Genomic DNA, 18,696 nt, shown 5'->3' with positions numbered 1-18,696 from the left:
TTAACCACCAGAATATGGCTACCATGACACTGTTCAGTCCTGGGTCTAAACCTTGAGCAATTTCCACATTTTATGTTTTTTTGGGGAGCCCCAAGCCACTCTGTAAGAAATCTGGCTACACTGTCACATGGAAAAACTGTGTGGAGAGACCCTTAGGCAACAGACAGGGGCCTCCAGATGATTCCAACCACAGCTGCAGAAGAACCACCCAGCTGAGCCCATTCAACCCAGAGAACTAGTAGATATAAGATGATTATTATTAGAAGATGCTAAGTCTTGGAGTGTTTTGTTAAACAGCAATAGATAACTTGAATATAAAATAAGGAAATCTATAAAATGAGGAAATGTTACTAGATCAGTCTCTTCCAAAGGGCTCCTGACACATTAATGAAAGATGTTACAACATCTGTGTGTTAAAAATACCAATATATAAAGCATCCATTCAAACATTTTTCTCCTTTAAAATGGAATAAAGATTCCTGAGTACATGACGAGCGAGCACAAGGGTCAGTTTGTGGGAATCAGGAAAGCACGCCATGACCCAACTACTTCATTACTTAGGAAATACCAAACTGCACAATAATTCTGACTTCCGTATCTTACAATGTGAGGTTTTTAGTCCTAGATTAGTTTAATTTATATCCAAATGGACCATTGGCTAAAGATGAAAAATGAAAAGGGTAGTAAAGGAGGAGCTCAAAAATAATAATTCTGAAAAATTCTTCCTAAATCCAAAGAAATTAGTGTTTCAATATTCCCATTTTATGAATGAACAAACTAGTGAAGAAGGTACAAAATCCTTGGCTGAATGTAAGAATGTGAGAGGCTTTTTGTCTTGCTTTGTTTTGTTTTTGGTAGATCTGTTTTCTTGCCATTTGCTTCTTTTCCCCTTCCAGTCCTCATGAATCCAGTGATCCGAGAGCTGTGGTTATTAAAGACATTCTTAAGCTTCTTTCTTGTGTATCTGTGCATACCTCATCTCACTCTGTGCCCCTCTCAGCTGCACTTGAACCAAGGTACTTCTGATCTCTCAGTGTCAGTTTGCTCATGTGTAAAATGGGGACAATAATACCCACCTTGTTTGCTTTCAGAGCCAGTGGGAAGATAAAATGAAACAATGGATGCTGTTCCTCTAAGTTGTTATATGATCTGCTGTGTTGACAGCTTAGCACAGTGTAAAGCAATGAGGACTAGGACTGAAAAGGCCTGAGTACCAGTCTTAGCACTGCCACTTGCTCTGTGCCACCCTGGGCAAGCTGCTTCTTCTCTTTGAACTCGTTTCCTCACCTGTAAAACAGGGCTAATAAATCCTTTCTCACTGGCTCTTGGAAGAGTTCAGTAGAGAAAGGAGGCTCAGGAAGTATGCTCAAGGAGAAGTACCATGATTGCTGTTACCACCTGTAGCAGTCCTGCCCAATGCCAGACTTGATTAAGAAAACACAAATTTGATGTCATCTCCTGCTCCACTTCTGATATGATTTGGCTGTGTCCCCACCCAAATCTCATCTTAAATTGTAGCTCCCATAATTCCCTCATGTTGTGGAAGGGACCCAGTGGGAGATAATTGAGTCATGGGGGTGGTTCCCCCATACTGTTTCGTGGTAGTGAATAAGTCTCACAAGATCTGATGGTTTTATAAGGGGAATCCCTTTCACGTGGCTTTCATTCTTTCTTGCCTGCCGCCATGTAAAGTGCCTTTCACCTTCCACCATGATTTTGAGGCCTCCCCAGACACATGGAACTGTGAGTTCATTAAACCTCTTTTTCTTTATAAACTACCCAGTCTCAGGTATGTCTTTATCAGCAGCATGAAAACAGACTAATACACCTTCAAAACATAACCCTTCAACAGCTGGTGCTAAGAGAATAAGAGGAAGAAGACGCTGACTCCATTTCACTCTTTGCTGCAGATCTAGTGCAAAGGGAACAGGCCAAATAGCAAAACTAAGCCTGTTGGTTCCTGGCATTGCAGACAAGCATTTTTTTTTTCCAACCATGGCTTTTTCATTCAGAGAGAAAAAAAAAACAACCAGTAACAACAACACCCCCCTCCGCCCAAATATACATGGAGAAACTTAAAATACACAGCTAAAGCCGAATGTGGTAGCTCATGCCTGTAATCTCATCGCTTTGGGAGGCCAAAGCAGGAGGATCACTTGAGGCCAGGAGTTTGAGGCCAGCCTGCACAACATAGTGAGACACCACCTCTACAGAAAAATTTTCTTTAAAAATTAGCTGGGTGTGGTGGTGCATACCTGTAGTTCCAGCTAATCAGGAGGCTGAGGCAGAAGGATTGCTTGAGCCCAGGAGGTCGAGGCTGCAGTGAGCTATGATCACACCACTGCATCCCAGCCTGGGTGACAGAGCAAGGCCCTATCTTTAAAAAATAAAATAAAATATAAAATATACATCTAAATTACTTGGCATAAAGAAGAAACAAAATAGAAATAACCACCTACTGAATGAGAATAAATAAAATAAAGATTAAAAATCTTGAATAATTGAGGATAAAAATAACTGAGAATAAAAATTGTAATAAATAATGAAATGAGAATAAAAGGCCCACATAAAAAATGGGCCTGTGGGATGTGGTCAAAGAGATAATCAAGTGAAAATTATATTTTATCAGGAACCCCAAAAGAACCTGAGAGTAAATTAATTAAGTCTTTGTGTGAAGAAGCTAGGAAAATTAGAACAAAATGAACCCAAAGAGCAAGTGGAATTAGTGAATATGAAAACAGATGTTAAGGGAATGGAAAAACGACAAGAAGAGGATAGTTGATCGCTAAAACTCAAGTTGGTTCCTTGACATGGATAAGAAAACAGATAATGCTTTGGTAAGCATAAATAAGGAGAAAAGACAGAAATCCAAACAACACAGGGAATAATGAAGGCGCCATAAGAACAGACACAGGAAAAAGAAAGCTCAAAGCATTTTCTTTCTTTTTTTTTTCTAAGATGAGGTCTCGTTCCGTCACTCAGGCTGGAGTGCAGTGGCACCATATGGCTCACTGCCTCTGCCTCCCGGGCTCAAGTGATCCTCCTGCCTTAGCTTTCCAAGCAGCTGGGACTATAGACATGCACCACCATGCCAGGCTAACTTTTTGATTTTTTTGAAGAGGTGGGGTCTCACTACATTGCCCAGGCTGGTCTCGAACTCCTGGGCTCAAGTGATCTTCCTGCCTAGGCCTCCCAAAGTGTTGGGATTACAGGCGTGAGTCACCATGCATGGCAGTCAAGGTATTTTCAACAGCTGTAGTTAGATTTAGCCTTTCTCAACTCACATTGTCTCCTCCTTCTGAAACCTGTTCACCCCAGAGGCACCTACATTTAGACAGTGAGCGCTCCCTCCTCAGTGTCTGCATTTTCAAAGCACTTTAACCCAACAGGTTAGATCTGTAACCATTTGTCATGTGTTCCTTGTGAAAGCAGTATACAGCTGGATGATTTCAGATGCAATCTGACTGTCTTCTTTTAAAAGGTGAACTTGGCCGTGTGTGGTGGCTCGCACCTATAATCCCAGCACTTTGGAAGGCCAAAGCAGGTGGATCACCTGTGGTCAGGAGTTCGAGAACAGCCTGGCCAACATGGCAAAACCCATCTCTACTAAAAATACAAAAATTAGCCTGGCGTGGTGGTGGGCGCCTGTAATCCCAGCTATCAAGGAGGCTGAGGTGGGAGAATCAATTAAACCCAGGAGGCGGAGGTTGTAGTGAACCGAGATTGCACCACTGCACTCCAGCCTGGGCGACAGAGCAAGACTCCATCTCAAAAATAAATAAATAAATAAAAAGGTGAACTGGTCCACATTTATTACAATGACTGATACAATTGAAATTGCTTCTGCCATTTATCTTTTTGTCTTCTATTTACTGTGCTATCAGGATATTTCTTTTTACCTCCATTTCTGCTTTTGATGGATCAATTATGGGGTGGGTTTTTTTTCCATTTTTTCCCGCACTGATCTGAGTGTTACATTTTCTATGTTTTCCTTTCTTCTTAGAGCAGCACTATCTGACAGCATTTTCTGCAATGACAGAAATTTCTATAACCATGCTGTGCAATATGATAGTCACTAGCCAACCACATGTAGAAAATGAGCCCTTGAAATGTGGCTAACGGGATGCAGGAAATAATTTCTTTTCTTTTTTTTTAGACAGTCTTACTCTGTTTCCCAGGCTGGAGCGCAGTGGCGTAATTCCGGCTCACTGCAACCTCCATCTCCTGGGTTCTAGCAATTCTCCTGCCTCAGCCTCCCGAGTAGCTGGGACTACAGGCATGTACCACTAAGCCTGGCTAATTTTTATATTTTTAGTAGAGACCGGGTTTCACCATGTTGGCCAGGCTGGTCTCGAACTCCTGACCTCTGGTGATCCGCCCGCCTCAGTCTCCCAAAATGCTGAGATTACTTACAGGTATGAGCCACCATGCCCAGCCTGAATTTTTTATTTTATTTTATTTTATTTATATTAGTGTACATATAAAAATAACCACATATGGATGCTGGCTACCCTATTGGCAGCACAGTTGCACAGATTACTCTTAATTTTTAATTCACACACTTAAATTTATATATTTCTGGAAGCATCTAGAATAATCCAGCAGTATCTATGTCATGCACCCCCACCCTGGACCTGACAAGGACATCTGCAATATTATAGCCAGATGTATGGAGAGTTTCTCTGGACTAGACATTGCTTTGAGTTTAAAAACACATTTATGGCCAGGTGTGGTGGCTCACGCCTGTAATCCCAACACTTTGGGAGGCTGAGGCGGGCGGATCACTTGAGGCCAGGAGTTCAAGAGCAGCCTGGCCAACATGATGAGAACCCATCTCAACTAAAAATACAAAAATCAGCCGGGTGTGTGGCATGCACCTGTAATCCCAGCTACTCGGGAGGCTGAGGTGGGAGAATCATTTGAATCCGGGAAGGTGGAGGTTGCAGTGAGCCGAGATCGTGCCACTGCACTCCAGCCTGGACAACAGAGCAAGATCCTGTCTCAAAAAAAAAAAAAAAAAGTTCTCACCCCAACGTTATGAGGTAGGCTCTTGTATTATTTACGAATGAATAAAGTGATCATCAGGGGGGTAAAGCAACTCACTTAAGGTCAAAAGTAGTAAGTGCAACCTGGGCAACATAGCAAGATCCTGTCTCTATACAAAAGGTTTAAAAATTAGCCAGGCAGGGTGGTGGGCACCTGTAGTCCCAGCTACTCTAGGGGTTGAAGTGTGAGGATCGCTTGAGCCCAGGAGTTTGAGGTTACAGTGAGCTATGATCGTGACACTGCACTCCAGCTTGGGTGACAGACTGAGACCCTGACTCTAAAATAAAAAAACAAAAAAAGTTGTAAGCAGCTGAGGATAGAATGAAAGCCAGGCTGTCTGGGTCCACAGTCCCTACTCTTGACTGCTCCATTATAAAACCTTGGTGAAATGTGATTTCACTCTGTTCTCTTGCTTGGGTCCCTTCTTAGCTTTGTTAGGCAGTTTTTGTGCAGAAGGAGGAGTTCCATGGGTGAAGGAATCATTCTCCACCCCCACTTCTGCTCATCCCTCTCCCCTGCCACTCCTACCTTCCAAGGAAACGAGCCCTTGCCACTCCCTGGCTGGCCTGTCCTTCCTGTTCCTCACCACTAGTAAACATCCTGGAAGATGCTGCTCAGATCCTGCTCTGTCTTCGCCCCCCTTTGCCCCTCCTCCCTCATTCCTGAGGCTTTTTCCCAGAAAGCAAGGTCCTTCCAGGCCATGTGAAGCAATCGAGGTGAAAGCCCAGGATTTGTTTGCCATTTCCTGGGTTCCTCTTGCAGCGAAAGGGAACCCAGCCAAAGGGCTCACAGCTTCCACCCACAGGTTCCACTGGAAAACACATCAGTGCAGGTTCAGTTGAAATGGACAATAAGGCCAATGGACAATAGAAACAAACAAACAAACAAACAAACGTGAAATAAAACAGTAATAATAACAGCTATCATGTATGGAGACCTCCTCTGTGTGAAGACTTTATGTTCCTTCCCTCAATTCATCCTCATAACAACCCTAGGTGAGACTGCTACAATTATTCCATCTTACAGATGTGGAGGTTAAGGCTCAGAGTGTTCTCACAGCTAGGAAGCAACAGGATCAGGATGGAAATGCTGACCTGCCTGCCTCCCAAACCCATGTCCTTAAGAGCTCCGCTGCACTGACCTCCCAGCAAGAAGAGTCAATCAGAGATAGGTGCGGTGGGAGGAAACTGGGGTGCAGGAGGCAGAGGTGGAGGGGAAAGAGCTCTCAGGAAAACCCCAAGGGATAAAGCATGGTGAAATGATACTGTGGCATGGGACTGTAGATATAAAGGAGGACCTCAAAGGAGTTGGAGCCATTAGGAAGACGAGGAAGAACATTCCCTTTCCATGGTTCCCATCACCTGAGTCAGTCCCACCACCTTAGCATGACAGGCAAGGCCCTTCATGGGCTGGCCTAACTCCTCAGCCACTTCGCCTCCTCCCGGACTCTGTCGCCACAGCCCCGCCCCACACACCTTGCCAACATGTTTGTTCCCGGCACATACTGTATGCTTTCATGCCGCTCCACCACTGCACGTGCTGGGCCTCCTACGTGCACTGTCCTTGTTCCCCAAGGAAAGGGTCCCCTTGTTCCTCTACTCTCCCTCTTCAGTCCCAGGTCCTGTGCCACCTCCCCAAGGAGCCTCCAGGTATACACATCTGTTATTTGGCATCCGCTCCTCATCTTCCGTTGCAGGGAGCCGCCCCTTTTCCTTGTCTCACAGTCTCCTGGTTTGGGTGGAGATGACTGCCCCCACCTCCACCCTCAGTGCCCAGCCCCAGGGTGGTGTCCATGATCCAGATCCAATCAATCAGCAAATTCCTGGGCCCTAGGCAGAGGTGAATACCACGTGGGTGAACCTGGGCCAGTGAGAGTCGGACCGGGTGTGTTTGCTCACCAGGGGTGCCAAGCTGGTGTTTTACTTGCCTGGAGCCACTGGGGGCCATCTTCCCCAATGAAGGATTCCTGACAACACTGTATGAGCCCCTAGATCCAACTGCACCTGAAGCCATAGACTTCAGTGACCCATAAATACTCATTGCCAATTTCTGGATTTTCTGAAGGTTGGCCTGTCATTTTTTTTTTAATCTCAGTACCCAAGTACCCTTCCTATCAGCAGACAGTGATGTTTGCTTAGTGCCTTTCAGTGGAAAAGTTTGAGGGAGTTCCTGACCAATTCCCATGCATCTTCCTCAACTCTCCACTGTACTCTTTTTCCTTCACACTGCAAGTTCCTTTATGAGTCTTCCATATTCAACTAAGGAGGGCAGGGATAGAGACTGACTCGTCCTGAGCCTCCGGGGCCCCAGCCCTGCCCTGACACCCAAGAGGAACCCAGTGAAGTTTCTGCTGAATGAACAAATGACTGGGTAGAGGACCAGGGCTATTTCACCTCATGACATTTCTAGGGCTGTGTCAGATACCTCTGAACCTAAACTAATTCTACACAGCAGCCAGAAGGATTCTGGGAAAACCTAAGTCAGGCCTCGTCACTCTTCCACTAGGAGCCCTCCAAGGCTCCTATTTCAGTCTAAGAAAAGCCAACGTCCTCACCGTGGCCTTCAAGACTCTGCAGGATCTGCCCCCTCTCACTGGGCTCCAGTCACACTGGTTCCTTGCTGCTACTCTCACTCCAAGCACGTCCCAACTCAAAGCTTGGTACCTGCCAGCCTCTCTGCCTGGGAAGTCCTGTCCCTCCATGCCAACAGTTCCTTCCTTCCTCCCTTCTGATCTTTGCTGAAACATCCCCTTCTCGGTGAGGCTGTCCCTGGCCTTCTACCTAAAATTCAACCTCCCTGTAGCATCTAGCACTTTGTATTCCCTTCTCCACTTGTTTTTTCTGCGTGGCACTTCTCATCTTCCAAAATAACTACATATTTTACATATTTATTGGTCTCCCTGACCTGAAAGTCAGCCTCAAGGGAACAGGAGTGGTTTGTTTCTTCTCAGCTGTCTCCCTGAGGCCAAGGACAGTTACTCAGCACTCAATCAATAATATTTGTTAAACAAATGAATGATTGAGTGAATGAATGAAAAACCAAATGAACTGTGGGGATGTAGGAAATCCAGAAAGAAAGGATCTTGGCTCATGAACATCTGAAAGGTCCAGGGCCTGGAAGTGGCCATGGACAGGAAGCAGAGCAAAGCCTCGTCCTCAAATTAAGATGTCTTAGGCTGGGCTCGGTGGCTCATGCCTATAATCCCAATACTTTGGGAGGCTAAGGCAAGTGGATCACTTGAGTTCATGAGTTCAAGATCAGCCTGGGTAACACGGTGAAACCCCATCTCTACCAAAAAATACAAAAATGAGCCAGGAATAGTGGTGTGCACCTGTAATTCCAGCTACTTGGGAGGCTGAGGTGGGAGGATGGCTTGAGCCTGGGAGGCAGAGGTTGCAGTGAGCCGAGACTGTACCACTGCACTCTAGCCTAGATGACAGAGCCAGACTTTGTCAAAAAAAAAAAAAAAAAAAAAAGAAAGAAAGAAGACAGAAAGAAAGAAAGAGAAAAAAAGAAAAGAAAGAAAATTAAGGAGAACACATTAAGACGGCTTGACCTAAGTTTAGCAAGTGTGCATCCTTTCTATTAATAACCTGCCTAACATAGGCTGTAGTGAAGATGTCCCACACTGGAGGAAATCCCTTAATCCTCTAAGCCCCTCGCTGTGGAGGGCACAGCTTCCCCGGGACAGGGTCAGGGGGCAGGGGGAGGGGGGAGAACCCTGGTTTGGGATGCAAGTATCTCCAGCTGCAAGTCCTAGGCCTCCCGTTGGTGACACTAGAGTAGTGTCTCAACCAGAGGTCACAGAGCACTGGGTCCCTCCTGCACCAGAGACCTGCTGTGGCTTTCCCTGAAGCTCCAGGGAGAAGCCAGATGTGAAATTGAACTGTATGAATATCCTCTTGCAGATGGCCGGCTTCCAAATGTCCCAGCAATTGCAGCCACAGCTGATACTTGGAGTACCCACTATAGCCAGCCACTCTCCTAAGGGGCAGTATCTGTACCAGCTGGCTTAATCCCTAGACAATCCTATGACAATCACTATTGTCATTCCCATTTTACAGAAATAACCACCACACTGAGAGGTGAAGACATTTCCCCAAGGTGGCACAGTTTGTAAGTCACATAGCAGGAACTTGAACTCGGGCAGTCTGACTCCAGAATCCCAATATTGGGTGCAATATAAAATAAAAACTCACATTCACTCACCATTTACCAGATATAGGTGATGAGCCGAGCACTGTAATTCATTTTTTCACATCATTCTCATGGCTACCCTGTGATAAGGGTATTTGATAGTGACCAGAGAAGTTGGCAGACTCTCCCAGGTCAAAGTGGAATGGTGGAACAAAGTGAGAGGAATTGGGTCTAGAACCCAGTTCTGCCCCCAGAGGCTATAAAGAGAGCCCAATCCCTGGTCCCTGCTGTGTAAGAATTCTGGGGAGGACAGAGACCCGCAGCCATGACTTATGCCTCCCCCAGCACTAACACCCAGCCCTCGCTCTGCCCATAGAAGGCACTCAGCAAATGGCTGTTGGGTTGATTTAGCAGGAATAGGAGGTGCAGGAACAAGGGGCTAGGGCTAAGCTGAGTGTCCTTAAGAAGACCTTGACCTCTCTGGGCCTCATTTTTTTCTCAGGCTCTGGGGCACTGTGCTGTGGGGGTTAAGAGGATGGACTCTCCTGTCAGAGCCGGAACTGGTCACCAGTTTTACCATTAATCCACCATGACAGGCCACGTGGTGCAGTGGTTAGGAATGCAGACTGGAGTCAGAATGCTGGGGCTCCTTCCCAGCTTCTCCTCTCCATAGCTGTGTGACCTTGGGGAACTCACCTCACCTCTCTGGGCTTCCCCATCTACAAATGGGATATTAATGCCTACCTTCTATGCTTACCTACATCATAGCCAGTGTTAGCGACTGTGATTCTCCACAGAACGACTCAGAGCAAACTTTGAGAAGTTAATTCAGGGCCGGGCGCGGAGGCTCACGCCTGTAATCCCAAGCCGAGGCAGCCGGATCACGAGGTCAGGAGATCAAGACATCCTGGCCAACATGGTGAAACCCACTCTCTACTAAAAATACAAAAATTAGCTGGGCGTGGTGGTGTATGCCTGTAATCCCAGCTACTTGGGAGGCTGAGGCAGGAGAATTGCTTGAACCAGGGAGCTGGAGGTTGCAGTGAGCGGGATCACGCCACTGCACTCCAGCCTGGCGACAGAGTGATCATCTCAAAAAAAAGAAAAAAAAAAGAAAAGATAATTCAGGTCACGGCCCCGCTCCAGCTTAAAACCCTTCTCCAGCTTGCCGTGGCATTTGCAATAAAATCTGAACTTCTCACCACGGCTTACAAAGCCCTGCACACCTCTCTGCCATCCCTTTGACCTCAGTGCCCTGCCCGCTGTGCTCTGGCCATCCTGGCCTGGGCCACACAAACTCATTCCTGCCTGAGGGCCTTTGCACTGTTGCTGCCACCTGGAAGCTCTTTCTCCAGATCTCAGCAAGACCCGCTTCTGAGGAAGTTCTCAGCTCCAAAACGTCCTACTCCAGAAAACCCACCCTGACCACCTACCCAAGGAACCCACGCCCTTGGCCTTCACGCCACCCCATTTTATGGGTTCCACAACACCTTATCTCTCTCTGAAGTTATTCATAAACGTGTTTACCCAGCTGCTCAATCAGAATGCCACCTCCATGAGAGAGAGGTTTATTGTCTATTTTGTTCATTGCTGAAGCTCTAACCCCTATATCAATGTCTGGCACGTAGTAGGTGCTCACTCAAGAATCAACGACTGATCCTTCGAGGCTTCTGAATGCAGAGAGAAAAATAGAGCCCTAGTCCCGAGTGGCAACAAAGCCATTCCCCACGCGTCCCACCCCAATGCTGTGTTAGAATCTCCTTCTCTGTCCCCTCTCTGCAGAATCACGTCCAGAGGAGGGGGTTCGTCTGTTTTGTTCGCAGTTTCGTTCGCGACAGCGTCCCCAGGCCCACAACAGCGCCTGGGGCACAACCGCGCTCAGCGAATCGATGAACTGCTTTGCTTCTTTCGGAGCCTCCATTTCTTCATCTGCAGACCAGGAACAGCTGCACTTGCCTGGGGCTGTCGGATCAGGGCGCCCGGGAGAGTGCCTGGGCCCGAGTGGGCGCTGCAGCAAGTGAGGGGCCACTTTTCCGGGGCAGAAAGGAAGATGGAAGGAAGCGCGACCGAGCCCCGTCCCAGCCCCCGCCGCAGGCCTGCAGTCTCGGGCTGGCCACCCGAGAGGCGGTATCCGGCCGGGGCGGCCCTGGGGGAGCCAGGGGGCGCGCACTCTTAGGGGAGCGTGGGGGCGGTGTCTACACCCTGGGAAGGGGTCGGGCTTCCAGCAGGCAGCGCCCGATCGGGACTTACCCATGGCGAGCGGGACTCGGCGGCGTGCTGGGGGCGCTGAGGGGCCGGGCGCGCATCCCCCGCCGGAGTCCCCAACGCCGCTGCCGCCGGACAAACTTTCCGGCCCGCCCCCGCCTCTGTCCCTCCTGCCCTGCCCTCCCGCGCGCAGCGCCGCCAACGCCACGTCGGCCAGCCAGGCCCCGAGGCCTGGAGGCGGGACGGAGGGGAGCCCAGGACCGCCCCCGGCCGCCCCAGGCCTGGCAAGGACCCCCTCCCTCGCCCACTGTCCTCCCGGGGGCCCCCACCCGCCATCTCCCGGGTCCCCTTCGTTGGTAGTCCTCCCCTGGGGGGGACACACCAGCAAGCCATCCTCCCTGGTAGAAGACCCCACACGCACTGTCTTCCCCTGGCCTCTTTGCAGGGAAGAGGTGCCCCAATCACTGGTCCACACTTGTCTGGCCTCCCCAGCGTGCGCACACACACAACACACACAACACACACATCTACACCGAGTGAGACACTCGCGCATACCCACTGGAGCCGCTCACTCTCTCATGGATTCATCCCTCATTCACTCCACGCTTGGGTTTGGACACCACCACATACCAGGCACTACGCTAGGCTTGGGATGGGCCGAAGAACAAAACAGAACAGGTCTTTTGTTTACCTTCTAGGAGGGGAAGAGTTTACATTCTAGGAGGGGAAGACGAAAAAGAAGTAACTAAAGGATCCTGAGAAATATCAGCTAGTGATAAAGACTAGGCAGAAAGTTAAACTACGGTGGTGGGTTAGGCAGACACAGGTGGCTGCTTTAGCTTGCTGATCTGAGAAGAGGATATCTGAGCAGAGATCCGGCATTCCCCGCAGGGGGAACAGCAAAGGCAAAGGCCCCGGGGTGGGAAGGAGCTTATGGGGTACAAAAAACGCAGAAATGAAGCCAGAGTGTCTGGAGCAGAGGAGAAGACAGGGAGAGAGGAGGGAGATGGGAGCTAAGGGAGGGGCTTTGGTGGGCCAGGGTCAGGAATGTAGATTTCAACCCCATCAGCAGGACAGATAACTGGGGAGTTCTAACTGGTTAAGGGCCAGAATACTCAGCCTTCCCACCTGGGAGGCTGTTGCAAGGTGAGAAGTTGGTTTGGGCTCATGTCACTGTGGTGAGGTTGGAGAAAAGTAGGCAGATCACATATATATGCTCCGTAAGAACTTACAGACTGGAAGAGGGGCAGCTTGTGGCTGGGAAAGGAGATCCAGAGTTCTGTCTTGGCTGTGTGACATTTGAGGTGCTCAGCAGGCATCCACGTGGAAATAGGTGGGCAGTTGGCTATGAGCCTGGGATTCAGGAAAGGGGTAGGCTGGGGACACTGCCACTAATGCTCACTCAGGCAAAAATGCACGTACAAGCCCAGCACTCACATGGGCGCAGCCTTATCCAGCCTCTCAATACGTGTTCACAGATAGGCACCTTTGCATGTGCACCAGTGGCTGTACCCTCACCAGTCAAAGTCACAGCGACCCCTACCGTACAGGTGGATACACAGGCATTCTTCCATGCTGAAGGCACAAGCAGGTATCTCAGCAAAGATGACAGCATCCATAAGACCTCTGAACCAGGGGATCCTTGCACAGTTTCAAAAATAATAATAGCTGGGGCAGTTTGAAAACATGGCTCCAGAATTCGTTGTTCCTTCCCTTGAAATAAAAGTGGGCTTGTGACTGGTTTGATCAGTAGCCTGCAGAGTGACACTGTGTAACTTCTGAGGCTGGGTCACTGGAATACTGGTGCCTGGATCCCTGAGCCTTCATATAAAAAGTCTGATTACACTGAGACCCTCCTGGTATTCGTGGCCTAGTGGCATCCTCTTCTCTTCTAGATGTCACTAGAAGTATCACTTAGCAACGTCTAATGAATAGAAGACGGCAAATATGGTGGATGTCATTTTCGGATTAGGTTATAAATGATTTCTGTGTTGTTCAGTTTCGAGATCTCTCACTTGTTTGCTCTGATGAAGCAATTGAGCTGCCATGTTTTGAGCTTCCCAATGGAGAGGCCCACATGGAGCGAAGCTATTGAATCACATAGCTAATGCCTCCAGGCAATAACCAGTGAGGGACTAAAGCCCTTAAATCAACAGCCCCTAAGGAGCTAAATCTGGCCAACAAGCTTGTGGTGAGCTTGGACGTGAATCTTCCCTCAGCCTAGCCTGGAGGTGACTCTAGTCCTGGCTGACACCTTGATTTCAACCTTGCAAGATTCTGAGCTCTTGCTCAGAGCTAGAATTTAGCTATGCTAAATTCTTTATCCTAGAAGACATGAGATAATAAATGTTTGTTTCTTTAAGCCACTAAATTTGGGGAATAATTTGTTATACAGTGATAAATAACGAATACACATTTCATTATTGTTCATTATCTTGATTAGAAAAAGGAGATGGATCATCTCCAGGAGAAAGTAGAGATTAGGTTATATCTACATGGACACTAGGAGGCTTATCACCCTTGGCCTTGAATCTCTCCTCTGACCCTTGAACAGTTAACCATCAGAAGCTGAGAAATCGGTGAGGATGGTATCTAACTTTAATTTAATGTGATCTTAAGGGACTGAAAATGCCTTTGCAAAGATTAGAGAGCAAGAGAAATCTGGCATGGTTGACTCCATCTTGACTCTGACCTCACCGGCTACCTGTCTTTGCTTATTTCTGGGTATAGGCCAAGCCAACCACGAGAGGAGTTTAGTTTATATTTTAACTTTGAAGCAAGGATGATAATAATCACTCCCTAAAACTAACCCCCTCCTTGCTCAGGGACTGAAGCTACCTTTGTAAAATTAATGAAAGTCCATGAGGTTAGGATTATGGGATGGGCCTGAATTATGCTAAAATGCAGGTGTAGTTTTGGTAATTCCTTACTGCTCAGGAGTCATGTGGCCAGAGGTCACAAGATTTGTAATTTCCCCAATTGCTCCTGTAGATAACATCACTATTGTAGAACCTAAGATTCATCTTTTGAGATGTTTTTCATACTTTCACATCCTGGCAACCAACTGACCCCGCCTGGACTAAAGATTCATGAGTGGACTGGTCCTGTGGCTCCCATCTAGAGGCAGACTCAGTGCACGGGGCTGTTTTCCATATCTCGATGATTTCACCCCCCCAACCAATCAGCAGCACCCATTCCCTATCCCCCTGCTCACCAAAGTATTTATAAAAACCCTGGTTTCTGAAGTTTTCAGAAAGACTGATTTGAGGAATAACTCCACCTAGCCCACTTGGCTAGCTCTGCATTAATAAAACTCTTTCTCTACTGCAATACTGCAGTCTCAGTGAACTGGTTTTGTCTGTGCAGCGAGCAGGAAGAACCCATTCAGCAATTATAGGACTTTGCTGAAAAGCCCTTCTCACCAATGTCTGTCTCTTAAGTGTTGTAAACCTCTCACTCACTATTTTAAAAGCCTATTCATTAGCTTGGGGTCCATCATGGAAAAAGGAGTTTCTCTGATTTAAAAAAAAAATTCCCTTAAAAAGCCACTTTAATAAACTTCCTTTTATAGATGGCCTCAGAACCCAAGTTGATTTCTTGGGGAGTGACACAGAATTTAGATAAAATACAGGATAAAATACAGGATGCCCAGTTAAATGTGAATTTCAGATAAACATGGGACATAATTTTACTACAAAATTATTTGATGTCTATCTGAAATTCGCGTTTAACTGGGCATACTATTTGTTGCTGTTTTTGCTAAATCTGGCAACCTTACCAGCCATTGTTTTGGACTAAGCTCCTGCACTAGTCCCCAACAGAACAGACTGAAAATCAAAATGGAGTCACCCATGCTAGAGTTCCAGGTCACTGAACCTAAGCTAAGTTGTTATCTGACCTTTCCAGAAATCAGGAGAGAGACAAGCAGCCAGCTTAAATCTTCAATCAGTGTGATGATGAAGTTCCCTCTGCTTTCATCCTTACACAAAAAAGGTAGCCTGAAGTAACCTGATGTTAACCAGTTATTTTTCTATTGCTCTAAAGTAACTAATATACTTTTTGTTCTTTGTTTCTGCTTTCTTCAGTCCTTCTCTGTCTTTATAAAGCCAACCTCTGCTTCTCAGCTTACTGGAACATTTATTCTATTTGATGAAACGAAGTGTTGCCCAATTTTAGAATTGTAAATAAAGCCAACTGAGATCTTTAAACTTGTGATTTTGTCTTTCGACACAGCTAATGAGGAACAGACCAGGAACAACTACACTTCCCTGGGACTGTCGGGATGGATCAGAAGAGGCAGGATGAAGACAGCAAGACCCAGAAGGAGGCTTCAGCTGTGAATCATGTAGCAGGGCATGGAGCTTAAACTCAGCTGTCGGCAACCCTGAAGTTTAGCAGGAGTGAGGAGGGGAGGGCACGATGGAGGGTTGGATTAGGGCTGAGAAAGGGAGTATAACTTGCACATTTAGAGTTTGTTTTGTAAGTGGATTCTGCTTTGAGATTTTATTTTGTATTTTTTGCGATGGAGTCTCACTATGTTGCCCAGGCTGGAGTGCAGTGGCTATTCACAGGCATGAGGATAGTGCCCTTCAGCCTCTAACTCCTGACTCAAGTGATCCTCCTGCCTCAGTCTTCTGAGTAGCAAAGACTATAGGCATGTGCCGCCATGAAATTGTCCTCATAGGGTTAACTAGAATTACATGCTGGGTTCTGGGCAGAAACATAGTTATAATTAAGCATTAATTTGGCTGCCCTTTGGCCCACTTCCTTGTAACTGAAAGTCATGTGGCACTAGATACTGCCATTTGCATCCCCATTGTTCCTACAGATAGGATTTCTGACCTTTGCATCATAAGGCTTTTTGTTTAGGAATTGCTTAAGATGTTCTTCAGATCCTGAATTCCAGTGGACCGGCAGACACCAACCAGTTTGAAGACCCCCACAGAGGAACTGAATCAGCCTAAGAACGAAATTTCTTTATCTCCCTGTCCTGTGACTTCACTCTGCATTCTTCAACCAAACGACGATCCCTATACCTCAGCCCACTCCAAAACCCTTAAAATCCCAAGGCTGAAACTCCTCCAGGAGGTGGATTTGAGGTTTCCTTCTGTCTCCTCATTCAGCTGCCCTAAGATTTTTTTTAACTCTTTCTCTGCCGCAACCCTCTGTATTGGTGTATTGACTTGCCCTGCTTCAAGCAACAGACCTGTTATAGTCACAACCACACCCAGCTTACTTTGAGATCTTTTTTCTTTTTCTTTTCTTTTTTTTTTTTTTTGAGACAAAGTCTCACTCTGTCACCTAGGCTGCAGTGCAGTGGCACGATCTTGGCTCACTGCAGCCTCCGCCTCCCAGGTTCAAGAGATTCTCGTGCCTCAACCTCCCAAGTAGCTGGGATTACAGAGGCCTGCCACCGCGCCTGGCTAATTTTTGTATTTTTAGTAGAGACTGGGTTTCACAATGTTGCAGTCTGGTCTCGGATTCCTGGCCTCAAGTGATCTGCCCGCCTCAGCCTCCCAAAGTGCTGGAATTACAGGTGTGAGCCACCACACCCGGCCACTGTGAGATCTTAATTACTGTTTTTCTCTGTCTTCTCATTTACCATTTATAACCCCCTTCCAACTCTCTCTATATCTCTTCTTTGCATATTTCTATCTGTTGTACTTATCACCATCTGATACACTGTATATCTTTTTTTAAAGACAGAAACAAAAATGGAGCTCTTTATTAAAATAGCAATATATGACACATTAAAGAACATCATATGTTAAAAATAATACATATTTGGAACAAAACTCAAAAACCTAGTTACATTTTGGTATCTTTCTAGATAAGCAGTTGTTTTTTTCTTCATTTCTTTATATATGTGTGTGTGTGTGTGTGTATATATATATATATATATATATATATATAAGCTTTATTGAACTATTAAAAGAAAAACTTTGGACCAATTAAATTTAACAGAGTTTAATGGAGCAGAGGATAATTTGTGAATTGGGCAGCCCCCCGAACCAGAATAGGTGTTACCACATGGTTGGAGAGGATTTATGGACACAAAAAGGAAAGTGACATAGAGAAAACGGAAGTGAGGTACAGAAACAATTGGATTGGTTACAGCTTGGCATTTGTCTTATTTGAACACAGTTTGAACAGTTGGCCACCACTGATTGGCCAAAACTTGGTGACTGGTGCAAGGGTAAGTTGTAGTCTGTTTACACATCTAGTTAGGTCATGGTTCATCACGTACAGGGAAACCTTTAGGCTGAACTAGAAATAGGTAAGGAGGCAGCTTCAGGCTAAACTTAATTTAACAGAAGCACAGTTGGCATATGATAAGCTGCTCATACTTAAAGTGTATAGTTTGACAAATTTTCACACATTTACACCTGTGAAACCATCACGTGAAACCATCATCACAATTAAGATAAGGAACATATCTATTATCCTTAACACATTATATCTCTCATTTATTTGTTTACTCTGTCTTCTCCCTTAAAATGAAGCTCTATGAGTGGGATTTTTTTTTTTTTGGAGACAAGATCTCGCTCTGTTGCCGAGGCTGGAGTACAGTAGAGCAATCACAGCTCACTGCAGCCTTGACCACCCCAAGCCCAAGTGATCCTCTCACCTCAGCCTCCCAAGTAGCTGGGACTATAAGCGTGTGCCACCACATTGGGCTAATTTTTTTATATTTTCTGTAGAAATGGGGCTTTGCCACATTGCCCTGTCTGGTCTCAAATTCCTGGGCTCAAGGAATTTGCCTCGGCCTCCCAAAATGCTGGGATTACAGGCATGAGTCATCGCACCTGGTCAGGAATTTTTTTAAATCTCCCTTTTTCTCTTCTGTATCCCAGTGTTTTGGTTCAGGATAAACATCTAGAATTACACCTAGCACATACTAGTTGCTAAATCATAATTGTTGAAGGATTTTACCTTCCTCTTGTTCACCCAAGCAGCCAGCTTACAAGACTGCCTGTTTTTTGTTCCCCAAACTCTAACCTTAAAAAGAACTTAGATTAGAGGCTGCAAATTCATACGCCTACAGGGCCCACTGAGGTGTTATAAGTGAGGGAAGTGAGCCGGGCATAAGGCAGTGCGGAGTGGTGAGGACTGTGGCAAGCTGAAGGCTGTTCATTCAGGGCGGAAGTCAGCAGACTACAATCAGCTGACTGTTTTGTCTATAAAGTTTTATTCGAACACAGTCATGCCTGTGCATTTCCATATTGTCCATGGTTGCCTTTGCACTACAACAGCAAAGTTGAGTAGTTGTAACAGACATGATGGTATGGCCCACAGTGCTTTAAATAT

At 46.4% G+C, this 18,696-nt stretch overlaps 1 protein-coding gene across 10 annotated transcripts in view, besides 1 other annotated feature; it reads right to left on the bottom strand.

Annotated features, from left to right (window-relative positions):
• The window catches only part of SLC2A10 (solute carrier family 2 member 10), a 28,028-nt gene extending 15,174 nt beyond the window's left edge, over nt 1–12,854 (bottom strand). For 6 of the 10 annotated variants that reach the window (XM_011529062.3, XM_011529060.3, XM_011529065.3 and 3 more), the window contains exon 1: nt 12,621–12,854. In XM_011529062.3, coding sequence (XP_011527364.1) covers nt 12,621–12,687 — 67 coding nt within the window. In that variant the 5' untranslated portion in view covers nt 12,688–12,854. Of the gene's footprint in view, nt 1–6,551; nt 11,526–12,620 lie in introns of those variants that run through there. The other 4 variants (XM_047440529.1, NM_030777.4, XM_017028087.3 and 1 more) reach the window with 2 other exon arrangements.
• Nucleotides 17,542–18,314: an enhancer, noted in NCBI's record as "H3K27ac-H3K4me1 hESC enhancer chr20:45331499-45332271 (GRCh37/hg19 assembly coordinates)". NCBI's record gives its function as "activates a minimal SCP1, AML or CMV promoter by ChIP-STARR-seq in naive H9 embryonic stem cells {active_cell/tissue: H9 hESC(naive)}" and the evidence as "EXISTENCE:reporter gene assay evidence [ECO:0000049][PMID:30033119]".

Source organism: Homo sapiens, chromosome 20 (assembly GCF_000001405.40).
Source record: "Homo sapiens chromosome 20, GRCh38.p14 Primary Assembly".
NCBI lineage: Eukaryota > Metazoa > Chordata > Mammalia > Primates > Hominidae > Homo > Homo sapiens.
The sequence above is the reverse complement of the archived record's forward strand: the minus strand, read 5'-3'. Positions and strand labels throughout refer to the sequence as shown.